General features: G+C 45.3%; 1 pseudogene, besides 1 other annotated feature; it reads left to right on the forward strand.

Annotated features, from left to right (window-relative positions):
• Window positions 268–8,091, forward strand: HSD3BP3 (hydroxy-delta-5-steroid dehydrogenase, 3 beta, pseudogene 3; annotated as a pseudogene).
• Window positions 11,533–11,827: an enhancer, noted in NCBI's record as "tiled region #13290; K562 Activating DNase matched - State 12:CtcfO". NCBI's record gives its function as "activates a minimal TATA promoter and a strong SV40 promoter by Sharpr-MPRA in K562 cells {active_cell/tissue: K562}" and the evidence as "EXISTENCE:reporter gene assay evidence [ECO:0000049][PMID:27701403]".

The following is a 15,682-nucleotide window of genomic DNA, read 5'->3' on the forward strand; positions in this document are numbered from 1 at the left end:
AATGAGTATGTGGCCAGAGTACAAATTGATACGAGCTGGGCCAGAAGCCACAGTGCATAAAGCTTCAGACCTGCCACAGGGGATGAGGTGACCAGCACCCTGATTACTCGGTCCACCTTTTAACGATCTAACAAATGGCTAGAGCTTTTTCATTTTTTTTTTTCAACTACCACTGGCAGTGGTGGGGACACAGAATTTTTGCAAAAAAAGAGGGTGGAGGAAAATAAGGGATCTGTGTGAGTATATAACCATTTGACCACTCTTCTTAGCCCTCTCCTGGGTCACCTTAGAATCAGATCTGTTCCCCAGCATCTTCTGCTCCCTGGCGAGGGTTTCCTGCTACTTTGGATTAGCCATGATGGGCTGGAACTTCCTTGTGACAGGAGCAGGAATGTTTCTGGATCAGAGAATCATCCATCTCTTGGTGAAGGAGAAGGAGCTGAAGGAGATCAGGGCTTTGGAAAAGGCCTTCAGACCAGAATTGAGGAAGGAATTTTCCATAAGTAAACTTGAGTTATAGGTGTTTGGCTCCATCTTAAACCCTCCATGCATGTTGGGAGGTGGAACTTGTCTAGCAAGTTATGGAAAGTTGTAGTCAAATCAAAGCCAATACCACATCCACAGTAATCAAAAAAGAAATATTAAATAGTATAAAATGGCATAGTGGGAAAGATACTGGATGGGATGTCCGGAGACTGGATTCTGGCCCTGACACAGAACTTGAGAGGTAGCCACCTCAGCCTCCATGCATTTTTTCTTCTCATCTAAAAAATCCCACATCAATTCTCTTTCTTGTCTACAACTCATTTATGTTCTGAAGCTTTTTGTCTTGCCAATTGCTGTGCAACATTCACAGAAAACACTATTTATCTGGAGACCTCACCAGTGAGTCCCTGTCTCTCTAGACTGCCCCGGGCTTTGTTTCGTTTTGTAGCATCCTTAGCATCTTTAGTGAAGGTAAAATAAAAGGAAATGGAAAAAAAAAGATGAGTGTGTCAGTGTGTGTGTGCATTTGTGTGTGACAGAGAGAAATGAGGGGAGAGAGAATCACAAAGAGAGAATGAGAAAGACAGAGTGAGAGAGAGAGAGAGAGCATCAGTGAGAGGGAGAGAGTGCGCACTAGTGCACAGCACAGAGCAGAGCCAGAGTAAGAGGCAGTATGAGGCCAGACATGCCTCATTTAGATTTCACATATATGACTTTTTTTTAACCATTTGTCTGTTATCACCACAATAAGTTGACTGCAGAATTTGAAGTAGCAACTCCTTGTATGAATAGACCCATGAGGGAGTTAGAAGAGGGGTCACAGGCCAGGTGCGGTGGCTCATGCCTCTAATCCCAGCATTTTGGGAAGCCAAGGCGGGCAGATCACGAGGTCAGACGTTTGAGACCAGCCTGGCCAACATAGTGAAACCCCATCTCTACTAAAAATACAAAAATTAGCCAGCATGGTGGCGTGCCCCTATAATCCCAGCTACTCGGGAGGCTGAGGCAGGAGAATCACTTGAACCCAGGAAGTGGAGGTTGCAGTGGGCTGAGATCATGCCACTGCACTCCAGCCTGTATGACAGAGCAAGACTCCATCTCAAAAAAAAAAAAAAAAGAAGAGGGGTAACATCCAACTGAACTATGAACCCATCAAGGTGCAGAAACAGAGTGACTTGCCAAGAACATCTGATTAATGTGTAGCAGAGCTCAGACCAGAGCTTCATCCAGAGGCTTCATCACTTGGCCCTTGAGCTGATGCTTGGCAAGGTGGGTCTTCAGTCTCTTCCTTTGCCTCCATGTGTGTCCCAAACCAATTCCCTGTCATCTTCCCCAACCCAAATGATTGGGGGGACTGTGTGTCTACATGTGGGCTCTGGCTGCCCAGAGGGTCCTGCCCTGTGCACAGAGAAGCCCCCCATTGACAGCACTCCGGGACCACACCCAACAATCTAGTCTTCCTTTCACTCTTCTCTGACCTCTTCAAATGTCAGATTTCCTCCACTCTCTGTTTTAATGGTGTCTTTGATAAACAAATATTAATGCACGACCAATATTAAATGTTTGTAATCCTTGTGTCTCAGCAATATTTGCAATCTAACATCTGATATCAGGAAAAAAGCAATGCTCAGCCTAGAGGAACAGTTCCGCTATGGTGAAAATGCAGGGGGCATAATGGATGGGCAGGGCCTGTATGAAGATAAAAACAGAGAATCCTTTCAGTGTTCTTTCTGTGCCAGGCACTGTGCTAAAGGTTTTGCATGTGCTGACTCATTTACTTCCCATAACAACCCTATGAGATTGGTAATATTATTAGTCTTATTTCTTATAGATGACGAGACAGAGAGGTTAATCAACTTGTCCAAGGTACCACAGTTAGATTATGGCAAAGCTGGATTTGAACCCAGACAGTGTAGTGCAGCTTCTGTGCTCTTAAGCTGTAGTTGTCTAGCAGCTTCTCTAGACCTCCCTCTAGCTCAAGTCATGCCATAAAAGCAACTGCATTTAGTCTACATAAAACACTTGCCAAGTCCACAGTGCCTTGGAGAAGGAGGGAGCTATGGCTTCATCAACAAAAGTCCCCTTTCTTGGTCCCTCTAGATCCCTGAAAACTCATTGGGGGAAGAGTCCTTTTCTCTCTGCTTTGGAGTTCTTCTGCTTTGACATAGCAATTCCTTTGAGCCAGTCTGTCTGAAGTTGGCAGCAAAGAAGAAGCAGAGGAAGGGAGTAGGAAGGGCAGAGGTGGAAAAACAACCAGAGAAAATTCCACTCTCAGGCTGTTAGCCACCTCCTCCCCAACAGCCTCTTTCCTACCTCCCCCCACTGCAGGACCTTCTTAGAGTTGCCTGACAAAGGGAAGGGTCTGGCAGTAGACAAAACATGGCAGAGGCATCAGGAGAGCAAACGGTCCTGCTTGTACCCCAAGAAGGAATTTCTCCAGCCTTGAATTTTTCACTCTGAATTTTACTCTCACTGTTCTTTAGCCTTTGTTGCCAGTTTCAGTTAAACTGGCTTATTCTTACCCTTTCTCAGAAAAGCTGATTCTAAACAGCCAGTCCTGCACCTGGGGTACAGGGTACAAAAATGGCACGTGGGATGGGCAGGTTTGAGCCTTCACTAGAAGCCTGGCCTTAGATCTCTCCTTAACCTCTTAGCCTCAGTTTCCTCACCAATAAAGTGGGACTCAGAATACCTACCTCTTGAGATAGAGATACAAGGAAATAAGCAAGCTGTGAGCCGTATGCAAATTATAAAGCACAAATGAGAGTAGAGTATTTATCCGAGCTCCATGTAGCATGGTGCTCATTTTGTGGGTTAATTCCAGGTGATAACTTTACTGGCAGCATAACTACCTGTGGATTTCAGAGAAGCCTGAAGACATTGATGTTGTAACCACTGCCCCTGGCTAGACAGTTGGAATGTCAGTTCATCAGTGGCTAACTCATTGTCAGCATCGCTGTCTGCTTTTGATGCTATTTTGATAAGAGTTTTCAACGAAATTCATCATTTCAATGAAATTCATTCATTCATAATTCATCATTTCATCATTTTATGTACAATTCCTGAGTCATGGCTCCACTCTCCTCCCAGTTGCCCAAGCAGGAAACTGTAGGGGTGATTTTATCTTCTCCTTTTCCTCTCAGCCCAGCTCCAATAGGTACCAGGACCTTAAAGGTAAGGTCTGAAATTCAAACCTGGTGTATCTCTCCCCTCCTCTGCTTCCACTGTTTGACCCTGGTTCCAGTCCTCATCTAAATGTTGGCACAGACATTCCGATTAATCTCTTGATCACCTGGCTTTCTCATATCCCCTATACCAGTCCGTTTTATATCCTCAAGCCAAGGTTAACTTCCTGCATCACAACTCTGCTTCTGTTTCCCTTTTACGGTTTTTTTTTTCTTTCTTTCTTTCTTTTTTTTCTTGAAACAGCGTTTTGCTCTGCTACCCAGGCTGGAGTGCAGAGACATAATCTTGGCTCACTGCTACCTTCACCTCCTGGGCTCCATCCATCCTCCTGCCTCAGCCTCGCAAGTAGCTGAGACTATAGGCACTATAGCCTGGGTACTTTTTATATTTTTAGTAGAGACAGGGTTTCACCACGGTGTCCAGACTGGTTTCAACTTCCTGGGCTCAAGTGATCCACCCACCTCAACCTCCCGAAGTGCTGGCTGGAATTACAGGGGTGAGCCACCATGGCCAGTCTGTTTTTGTACTTCTTTTAAACAAAAATAATAGGTTTTATTTGACATGATGTTAGAGACCCAAAATCATTATTCCTGGTTACATATAGAATTAAATTAAAATATTTTCCTCTTATACCCAACTCTCCACAATCACCCTACTCCCCTTAAGAAATTTGGTGAGATTCCCATGGCTCTAGCAATGCTTACATTCTAAGACACCTGACAACTCACTGTTCAGATTACTTTCCTGGAATGAGGTGAGGTACAAACAAATATTTGTTCTTTCCCAATCAACCACAACACATGCTGATTTCTCTGTCTTTGTTTACTTGTTCCTTTTATGGAATGTACACCCTCCACTCTAACACCCCCACTCTAACATCCTTGAGCACTTATGAAACATCACCTTTATCAGAAAACTTCCTAGCCAGATCCAGAAATCATTGCAATGACCTGACCCATGTTCATGCAAAGCTCCAAAACAAGACCAAGCTAACAGTGTTGGAAGGAGACATTCTGAATGAGTCATGCCTTAAAAGAGCCTGCCAGGACATCTTGGTCATCATCCACACTGCCTCTATCATTGACGTCTTCGGTGTCACTCACAGACAGTCTATCATGAAAGCCAATGTGAAAGGTACAGTATCCTGGGGAGGAGATGGAGCAATGTGGGAAAATGAGAATCAGAAAGAAGGACAGGATGGAAAGAGAAGTTTCTCCACTGAACACCTGCTGTACTCTGGGCCAAGTGTCTTTGCTGATCACTACCAACTAGGGAGTTCAAGACTGCTAACTTTAGTTTTTTAGATGATAAAACTAGGGCTAAGAGATGACAAGTAACTTGTCCTAGGTTCTCCAGGTAAGTAAGTAAGTAGGTGAGTTAGGCTTTAAATTCACTCTTGTGTGACTCCAAAGGCTGTGGATGCTCTTTCTACTGTGGCTCCAATAAAAGATAAACTAAACTCCAACTTCAGACTCTTGATGTCAAGCCACCGCTTGCCTCCCAGCGCAAAAATCATACCTTCCAGATGTCACCATAGTCATCATTTTGAACCTTGTGTGCAGGCTGATGAGAACATTCAGAGCCCTCCTGTCCACCTCAAAGAAGAAGTCCTCTTGAGAGAACTAGCAAAGCTGGTTCACAGAGGTCTGTCAGGACAGAATTATCCAGCACATGCCTTCCCACAATATTTTCTTAACCATAAGATTTTCCCTGTATCCAGAATACAATCTCTTCAGCTCACCACCGGGTCTACTATTACAGAGCCATTTCTTGCCAGGTGCCCAAAGTGCAGCCTCATTCGATCCTCATCCCTTAAATATTGGGTGGTTTTTGCAAATTGTGGCTTTCCAACCTACTTTAAATTCAGACACATTGGCTTAAAGAATCTTGTCATGTAGTCTCACCCTCTGATTCCCAGATCCCAGTCTCTTCAGGACCATAGCACCCCACTGCTGGCCTGGCCCTCCACATTCAGTCTACTCTGATGCCTTTTCTAATGCAACTAATTGCTTTTGGGTCTCCAGCACCATCTAAAAGAAAAAAAAAAAAAAAAAAAAAAAACCTTGTCAGTTTCTACTTGCCCATAACCTGTAAGTACCCCTACAGTGCAAGGAGTATGCTAAGAAAACTAGTTTTTCATTTTAATTCTTATTCTCTACAGCTCCCAGCAACAGGGGATGTGAAATGACAGGGGAAGTGTTAGAGGCATCTGTTTCCTAAAACCATTATCACTGGCAGGCTTAGAGAATACTTCACAACGTTGGTCATTTACCCCTTGAAGGTAAACTAACTCCATATTTTCTCTGCCACTAGACTAATTTTTGAAGATGATACTGTCTCTCCAGAAACTCAAATTGCACAGAGACTTTAAAAGGAGCCAACAGTACAAAAATAAGCAAATAAAAATGATCTTTTGCCCATGATTTTTCTTCCTGCTTCAAGGGAAGACGCTCTGGATACCTCCATGAGCTTTGCTTTCACACAGCTCAGGGGAGGCTGCAAGGTCCTCCCCATGCAGGTGTTACCAGCAGAGGGCACACTCCCTCCCCAGTCCTCCACCAGGTTCCACAGGAAACACCAGTGCAGGGTTTGGAATACTAAGTAGAAGGAAGGTTTATTTATTACCACCACCCCCGCTTTACATAACTGGATAAACAGAGTCACAACCAGAATTGGAAGCAGCTTGCCTGGAGAACACACAATCAGGAAAAGTGTGTGGGTATCCAGAATCTCCCCAAACATACTATTTGCTCAGTGACTTCAGGGATTTGGTTTTGCTAGTCAAAGTTTTATTAGTCTTCAATAAAATGAGAAAAAGTTTTATTAGTCCTCAACAAAATGAGAAAAATACCAGCAATTGCATGTATATATTTAAGAGCATATATTGCCTTAATATACAACTGTGAATGTGTGTGCGTGATGTGAATTCTTCCACTGCCCTTTTGTGCCTAAGGACTGGGACTGTCCATATTCTCAGAGTGTAGCTTCCTGATTTTTTAGATTTTAAATAATCTGTCTTTAATGGTATCAATGGAAAATCATAATTTTCCAATATTCTTACTTGCCAAAATATAAAGTGATAACCCTAGGTTCTTTTCCAAAATTAAAGTATACACGTACACACACACACACACACACACACACGTCCACAAAACCCAAAAGTCTAGAAATTCTTCCTCTCTAGAGCCCAAATGTTCATTTATTTTTATTTTTATGTTTTTCCTATGGCTGCAGCATGGCCCAATCTCTGTCAGAGCCACAGAAGAATACAACACTCAGTTGTAACCCAAGTGTGTTACAACCACTGCACTTGGGAGTGGGGAGTGGGGCACATGGATCTGTGCACGTGGTTGCGGCCCCATAGGGATATTTCCTGACACTGACAGCATACTCTTCGTGGGCAGGTACCCAACTTCTGTTGGGAACCTGTGTCCAAGCTAGTATGCCAGGCTTCATCCACACCAGCATCATAGAAGTATCCAGGCCCAACTCCTGCAATGAGATCATCCAGAATGGCCACGAATAAGAGCCTTTGGAAAACATATGGCCTGCTCCATACCCATAGAGCAAAAAGCTTGCTGAGGAGGCCGTGCTGGCAGCTAATGGGTGAACACTGAAAAATAGCGTATCTTGTACATTTGTGCCTTAAGACTCATGTATATCTATGAGGAAGGAAGCCCTATACTTTCTGCCACTACAAATGAGGCCCCATTACAATGGGATCCTGTCAAGTGTCAGCAAGTTATCCACATCAACACAGTCTATGTTGGCAATGTGGCCTGGGCCCACATTCTGGTCTTGTGGTCCCTGCAGGACCCCAAGAAGGCCCTAAGCATCCGAGGACAGTTCTACTATATCTCAGATGACATGTCTTACCAAAGCTATGACTACCTTAGTTACACCCTGAACAAAGAATTTGGCCTCTGCCTTGATTCCAGATGGAGCCTTCCTCTAGCCCTGATATGCTGGATTGGCTTCCTGCTGGAAATAGTGAGATTCCTGCTCAGGCCAATTTATACCTGTCAACTCCCCTTCAATCGCTACAGGAGATATCATCAAGCTTCATCCTCCTGGCTTCATACAGAAGGTGACAAGGGCACAAGCCCAGATCCTGCTGCCTCCCTTTCACACAATGGCCAACTTATTGTCTTCCTCGTGTCATCAAAACCTGTGCAGTCACTGGCCCAACCAGAAGCTTTCTGTGCTAACCATATACCAAAGGACAGACAATGTGATTTGCCGTTACCAAATATCAGTGGCTAATTCTGAACAATTTGGGATCTCTTTTAACTTGAGGGTCTCTTTTGACTACTAGAGCTCCATTTCCCCTCTTAAATGAGAAAGTATTTCTTTTTTTTTTTAATCTCCTATTTCTTCACACAGTTCAATGAAAAGAGCAATAAATGCTTTAATGCTTAACTGGAGGGAGGTGTGGTTTCTATTAATACATACTTTCCTCCTTTCCCTTCATTTCAAGGTATCACCGTCTCCAATTTAGAAGAGTACCATGAAACCAGGGTTTGAGGGGTGGGCAGAGTAGTGGGAGGGTCAGGAAGGGCGGATGAAGACTGAATAAGCTCTAGTATGTTTCGGGCAACTACAACATGACCTACATATGACATATATTACCTTATTTAATACTCATCAGAAACCTCTGATGTGAGATGACTATTTCCATTTTATCAGGGGGGAAACTTGTTCACGGTCATACCAACTGATTAGTGACTAGACCTGCTACCAGGGAGTCAGCCTTGAAAGTCCTTATCTTTCCACTGAAACACTCAGCCTGAATTTGTCTTGTCAGTGGTACAGCAGAGCACTGGAGCATGGGGTGCCATTCCTTGAGAGAGCCCCAACTCCCATGGGTTACCTCCTTCTTGCCCAATTCCATGCAGGAAACTCTCTAGAACCCAAGAGAATCCCTGAGGGCACCTGAAAAGGTTTGCATGCCTTACCAAACCGCCCTGAGCAGGGGAGAGAGAAGGAAAAATGCATTTAGCCTCCACCAGCTTCAGTGTCAATTTCCTTGAAGGTCTGTAGAACACACCTCCCATGGCTATATGTGTGCTGGTCATTCTGGTTATTCATAACCCTGCATTTCAACCTTTCAAATCACACAATGAAGCCATACCATAGGTTCCTGGGCAAGTAAAGAGAACAAGGGTGAGCTTCCCAGAAAATTTATCTCCTACTCAGCTCAAAAAGTAGAAGTCTACTATCCCACATCCCCAGATATAACTGCCTCTCCCTCCTTTTTTATCCATCTTTCCATTAAATCATATCCTTTCTTCCTTTATTCTTCCAACTCCTTAGCTTCTCCTTCCCTACATCTCCCCTTTTATCACTGGCCCTCGCATTCTTCTCAATTTCCCTGAGGAGAGGAGGCCAATAAAGACAAGTTTGGGGACTTCAGTGATGACATAGTCATTAATCAACCAAAGAAGCAACGGTCAAAAGAAACACTTTCAGGGGCATTAGGGACAGAGTTGAACTGAAGCGGGTGAGGAGGTTGCTGTGGGTCCAGAGTGTGGGAAGGGAAGCTGTCTCCCTCTGGACCTGGGTATATCACAGCCATGATGAGGGTCACACTCAACATCAAGATGGCTTCTTTCTTACACAGAAAATTTACAGATGATTAACCTCAAAGCACCAAGGGACAGGTGATCAGCACCAGCATCAGGGTGGAATGGCCCTAGGCAGTGGGGTAAAGTGAAAAATGGAACACCCCTCTTGCCCCATCCACTGAACAAAATGCAAGAGCCAGCACCTCTCCAGCTCTTGTAAGGCATGCCCACCATCCATATGTTTATGACAAATAGCATGGGAAGGATAGGAGGGTGGTGGAATCTGGGACAAGAGCCTTTCCCCCTGGTTTTTCAGCCTAGTGAAACCCCACTCCTATTGACCAATGAGGGCAATGTTCACAGAGAAGTGATGGGAAAGATTATACCTCCAATGGGCAGTGAGGGGTGATCACAGAAAGAGAGGAAGAAATTGGATGGGCCAGCAGTCTCAACTGGACAAGCACAAAGGCCTCGGAGTGTTGTGGCCAACAAAATGTGCCATCCCTTCTTACAACTGTGGGTGCCAGGCAGGCAGAGCTCCTGCACCAAGCAAGCCTCGCTGAACCTCACGCCATGCACCACACGGAGGCAGCAAGTCTCGGAGGGAAGAGCAAGGAAGCCTGACCCAGTGGGGATTTTTGGGTCCCTTTCCTCCATCTAGGTGGCTCTGCAGGGTACCTGGCAAGGGAATGAATGAAAACACAGGTAAGTTCTCAGCCACCGGCTTAAGGGCTAGGTGTATATGAATACAGACAATGGAGCTGAGCTGGTCACTGGGAAAAGCCACAGGAACCAGCGGGACTTAAATGAGGCCTTGAATTCCTGGGTCCAGACAGGGGGCACAGCATGGGCAGTGGTGCAGAGGAAGACGAGGGGCATAAGGAGGCCTCCCGTCTGCTGGGAAGCATGTATGGAGGGCAGATGAGGAGCTCAGGTACTTGACAAAAGTTTCCACCACCTGAGAGCCAGGCTCTGAGGGCCAGGATGGGGCTGGGAACCCGTGATGGCCTGCTGAGAACTGGCAGGAAAGTAGCCAGAGGCCAACTTTTATGTGAAATCTCTTGATTTCTAAATATTAGCAACTAACTCTAAATTTTAAAAAACAGCTCAAAGACCTGCTCCAAGAGAGGAATGCGTGGGCTAGTATTCAAAATGTATGTGTAATATTTTATTTCTTAAAAAGTAGGTGGTGAGATGTCAGCAGCAAATCTGTTCATTCTTGGTGAAAAGTCCCAAATATACATTATTATATCGTATTGTCACCTTTTCTGTATATTTAACATAGGTTATAATTTTTTAATAAATTAAATTTGGTGGGGAAAAAACATGCAAACTAACAAAACACATTCACAGGCTGGACCCAGGATTAAGAGCTCTGATTTTCCATTTCTGCTCCCAATCTAGTGGTCCAGTGGGGGAGATAAAATACAAGACATGTTAGGTGCTGTGCATAGTAAATATGCAGAGTGCCATAGAAAGGAAAATGCTTCTGAAGGATCCATTCCCACAGGGGACTCATGGGGTCCTTGCATTTTGGCTGGATATCAAAAGATGGGTAGGATTTCAACAGACAGGAATGTGAGTGAAATTATTCCAGGCAGAGGCAATGCAGTCTGCAAAGACCCAGGTGAGAAAGGGGTCCATTTTAAGCAGCAATGAGACCAGACCAGAAAGCCCAAGGCCAGGGGAGACATGGAAGATACACCTGAAAAAAATGATGGGCACAGGCAGGATCACCTGGGGTCATCCCTGGAGACACCGTGCCTGCTTCCTTCATTGCCCTCAGAGTAGGAATTCTGTGCCCCACACCCCCTTAAAGAAGACTTGACATTCAATTACTTCACATATAACATGGCTCATCTTCTCTCAAAAATTGGACTCTACAGGAAACGAATGTCTCCTTTAGCAATGAATATTGATGGTGATGCTAAAAGCTGGGACATCATTCACTCTGCAATGGGCATTGTTCAGCTGTCCCTGGAAGATTACCTTGGCAGCATGTTGTAGGATGGACTGAAAGAGATGAAGAGGATACTTGAAGAATTTAGGTAAGAAATGAAGGCCTGATTTATGTGTTGGTAACAAAACAGACTACAGGGGCAACTGCGGCAGGCCTGAGACAGAATGGCCGCTAGTTTAGACAGGACTGGGTGTGGGCACAGAATTCCCAAGCACACACTTTCTCAAGCCAGAAACCTGGATGGCAGCCCCCCACTCCGCCCACCTATCATTCAGTGCTACGAACTTTACCTCCACAACACCTCTTGAATATGTCGTCTTCCTCCCTGGTAACATCATTCCTACTCGTACCCCCAACAGGCCTCCTTGTCTTGGAGAATCACCCATGAAACCTATCCTCAGCAGTGTTGCCAGAGTTCTCTCCAAACTAGTCTCACCATGTCACTCCCTTCCTTAAAACCAACCAATAGGGGGAGCCCCAGGACTGTCAGGACGAGCCTGAGAGCCTTAGCAGAACATAGAGGGCCTCTGAAGCCCTGGGCCCTGCCTGACACTCCAGACTAATTCTCACCAATCCCTGCCCTGTCCCCAGATTCTCCTACTTTGTGCCTCAACAATTTTCCAAACTCAGCGCTTCCTGCATGCAGCATGCTTTTATATCCACCCAGGCCGGTGCATGGTGTTCCTTCCGCTTAAAGGGTGCCCAGCTCTCCTGCCAGCACATCCTTCCCAGCTCCTTATTTACTATCCAATATGTCTCATTTTACAGCCTCTGTGTCTTGTGCATATCGAGTTGCACTCTCACTGATTTTTCATTTATATATCCTGTTCCGCACCCCTACACTGCCGTGTCTTGAGGACAGTAACTCACCATGTCATCTCTCTGTCCCCAGTGACTGACACAAAATAGACACATGGGCTGATGGAGGGATGGATGGATGGAAGGATGAAACACAAGTAAACTCATCTGTTAGAATGGAGAGAGGAAGGGATAGACAGTCAGGGAGCAGAATGCTTTGAATGACAAAGTAAGAAAGAATTCACAGATGACTTTTCAAGGTGTCCATGAACCTGAAGAAGCTAGATCATCATAAAGAGATCCAGGAGAAAGAGAAGGCGCACGGAGTGTATGGAGCTGAGAATGAACTCATTTGTGTGATATGAAGAGTGAGTGGGGTTGTGAGAGGCCTACAAGCAGGGAAATGGAAAGGCTGATGAAAGTGAAGCCCAGCTGCCAAGGTTATAAAGGGACTGGGAATTAAATCCAAAACCTGAAATGGCACAAGGCCCAGAGCATTTTTATACTATAAGAAAAAGAAAATTTGTTTTAAAAATTAAATTCAGAAGAGAATCTCACACTCTTAGGCAACTCAAGTGAGGATCACTCAACATCTCTGGCTACATGTTCTTCTTGAGACATCAAGAGACTCTGGTGGCAATTTGGAGGGATTTTTTTTCCTTTTTTTTTTTTTTTTTTTAATCATGGACCAAGATGCCACCCAAGTCTAATGAGCAGGGAATGGAGTCGGTGATCTGAGGCATGAAATAGGTTCATTATGAGGAAGTGAAGGGGGAAGGCTAGATGAACAGAAGAAAGTGGCTTGGCCACTCTGTCCCCAAAAGCAGGGGGCACTGGGGTCAGTTGCAGACTCCAAAACAGTCAGTAATCTGTTCTGGAAACCTGAAGCTCCCTATTGAACAGCGGACTCTTTCCTCAAGAAATGGAAGAACCAGCACTAGCAAAGTCAGCCATTCTTCCTAAACAGATACTGGTGACAGAGGTGTGGGCATGAGGTGGGCTGTGGGACTATTGTCATCCTAGCATGAACCCTGGCCACTGAGGTAGGAATACCCTTCTCATGAGCCCAGACCTAACTCCTTCCTGCATCAGCTGGAGTCTGTCAAATCCCTGGTGTAGCCCTGAGCAGAGCAGTTCCATGGGCACATGGCCTGTGCCATCACCCAGGCCCTGTGCTTGGCTTAAGGGGCTGCCATGGGACCCCACATTTCATTTTGCACTGATCCCTGTAAAATATGCAGGCAGTCTTGATTATGAGAACTTCTTTCAGCAGCAGGCAAAACACCTGTTGCCTGACCTATGGTGGGTAAATGGAAAAGGCTCCCTGGTTCTTCCAGGGCAGATCAATGTCCTTGTGGAGTTCAGATTTTAGAGCTAAAGAAAGCTTCCTCAGGCATGGAGGGGCACACCTATAGCCCCAGCTACTAGGAGACTGAGGCAGGAGGATCACTTGAATCCAGGAGTTCAAGGCCAGACAAGACCTCATCTCTAAAATTTTTATTAAATTGAAGTTAAAGAAGGATCTAGAGACCTTTACTCCAGCTTTTAACTGTGGGCTCCTTTCCTTATTTCATTTTACCAATGAGGAAACCGAGGCCTGGGAAGCAAGATGACTTTCCCAATGTTCACCTAGACCACCATCTGTAATAGTGACCTAGGATTTGCTACCTTTAAGATGAAAAGGGGGGTGAAGGCATAGAACTAGAAGGTTGCCCTACCAACATATTTATGAAGGGATTTAAAAAAACTGGGATGGGAGACATTTGAAAGAGGGCAGAGGGCAGGTTTAACCAGAAGTCAGCTAGCTAAGCCATTTGTCTGGCCCATACAGCCCAACCTCCCATGGGAACAACAGCTTGAGGAACGTGGGTGCTCCACGAACGGAGACAGGCAGATGTTTCATGATACAGAAATAAAAGTAGCTGGCTGTGAGAGGGACTAAGGAAAGGGGGAGAGGAGGGCAAAAAGAAACAAGTATTCTTTCATTTTAGAAACAGAATATTTCTACAAATGAGAGTGAGGGGTGCAAATCTTGAGTTCTCATTTCAATTTTGCCATCGAAGTTAAGCAAATCTCTTCACCTTCCTGGGTCTGTTTACCTTCCTGAGAAATGAAGGTTATGGCTCATTTCTAAGGTCTGTTGCCAGTGACATTGGGCTGTAAAAAAGTAAGTTGATTTGCATCCTCTGACACCTGCACACTTCTGCAGCTAAACTTCATAATAACACAAGCCTCCATGTGCTTATTTGTTTGCGTGAAGCTGAAGGCGCTTGAGAAAGTGGTTTCCCAGCACTTCCCTGGCTCTAGTGGCACCTGGCACCTCACTGGGAAAGGGGCATCATACCTCTCATAGGGTTGTCAAGGATCAAGAAGTGGGGCCAAAAAGTGTGGCCGATGCCCTCCCTCCCTGATATCTGCTGACCACTGAACTGCAAAACTTAGTGATGACTTAAATAAGGACTTTTGTCTTTACATTAAAATGTGGATGTTTCCCAAGTAGGTTTTAAAATTCTTAGAAAATCACTAGACACAAAAGTGGGCAGAGCCAATAGAGATAGTGCCTACTGAAGAGGAATCAGAAACCCAGAAAAGTCATGCCTTGCTCAAGTCCACTGCCAGTTAATGCCAAAGCTCTGCCCTGCACACTCCACGCACAGCACACCCTCAAAGGAGAGGCAGAACTAGTTCCTTCTTTCTTCCTGTTCTCAGGAAAGGGAGGCCATGCCTTCTCACTTCCTCATCACCCTGCCCCAGGAGCTGGAAATCCCAGAGGACACAGGCCACATGCACAGCAACTGCCTCTCTCCTCCTTCTAGGCTCCCAGGAGCTATGACACAAGACTTTAGGACACCCCTCAGCAGCCCCTTCTCTGCAGCACTGAGCACAACCACCTGGTAACCACCTTGCTTCCTAACATTCACACAAGCCCCTGAATCTTACAAGAGCCTTCGTGTTTGTCATTTGGTTTGATTTCCCCACACCTCATACCTGCATCTTTCCACTGCACAGATGAGAGCAAGATCAAGAATACCTATAGGGCTTGGTCTAGGCTGCAGCAACACTCAGCAGTGGCTGTGTCAGTCCAGTGAATCTCAGGCTATGAAGTCATGTCTGTGATTTCTACCAACTCTATTAACTTCAACACAGAAATCGGCAGAGCTACTTCAGGTGAAACCTTGAGGTGACCCTCATTTCAGACATTAGCTAATGCTGCCCTTGACAAGAGGCCTGTCTAGCCAGATCCTTTTCCAGCCCCTTGACAAAGTGAATTAGCTTTTCCAAGGTTACACACTGTTCCTTCCCTCACCCAACAAAGCCAGGTACAGTGGACATTGCCTAATTTGCAGCAGTGGTGGGAACCCTGACTTATAGTTGCAAAGTCCTTGGCAGAGAATCTGCTTAACACTGAGCCTTTGTTGAATGTACCGTCTTGCCCTAGCATAACATGTGAAGCCTTGACATGAAGTTCACCCTGTCCACCTCTCACCACCTGCAGCCCCAGGGGCCAAATCCTTAAAGTCATACATACAGTTGGCAAAATAATTCACCCCAAGCAGGTTGGGCAGGCAGGAAACAAAATCAGCCTTCACCTTCACCCTTAAATGGTGTTGGAATGTGTAAGCATCTCTACCTCTCTCATATCTGTCTCCCCAGCATTGAGCACTATGCCTGGAACATGTCTACTCAG

The sequence above is a fragment of the Homo sapiens genome, chromosome 1 (genome assembly GCF_000001405.40).
Source record: "Homo sapiens chromosome 1, GRCh38.p14 Primary Assembly".
Lineage (NCBI taxonomy): Eukaryota > Metazoa > Chordata > Mammalia > Primates > Hominidae > Homo > Homo sapiens.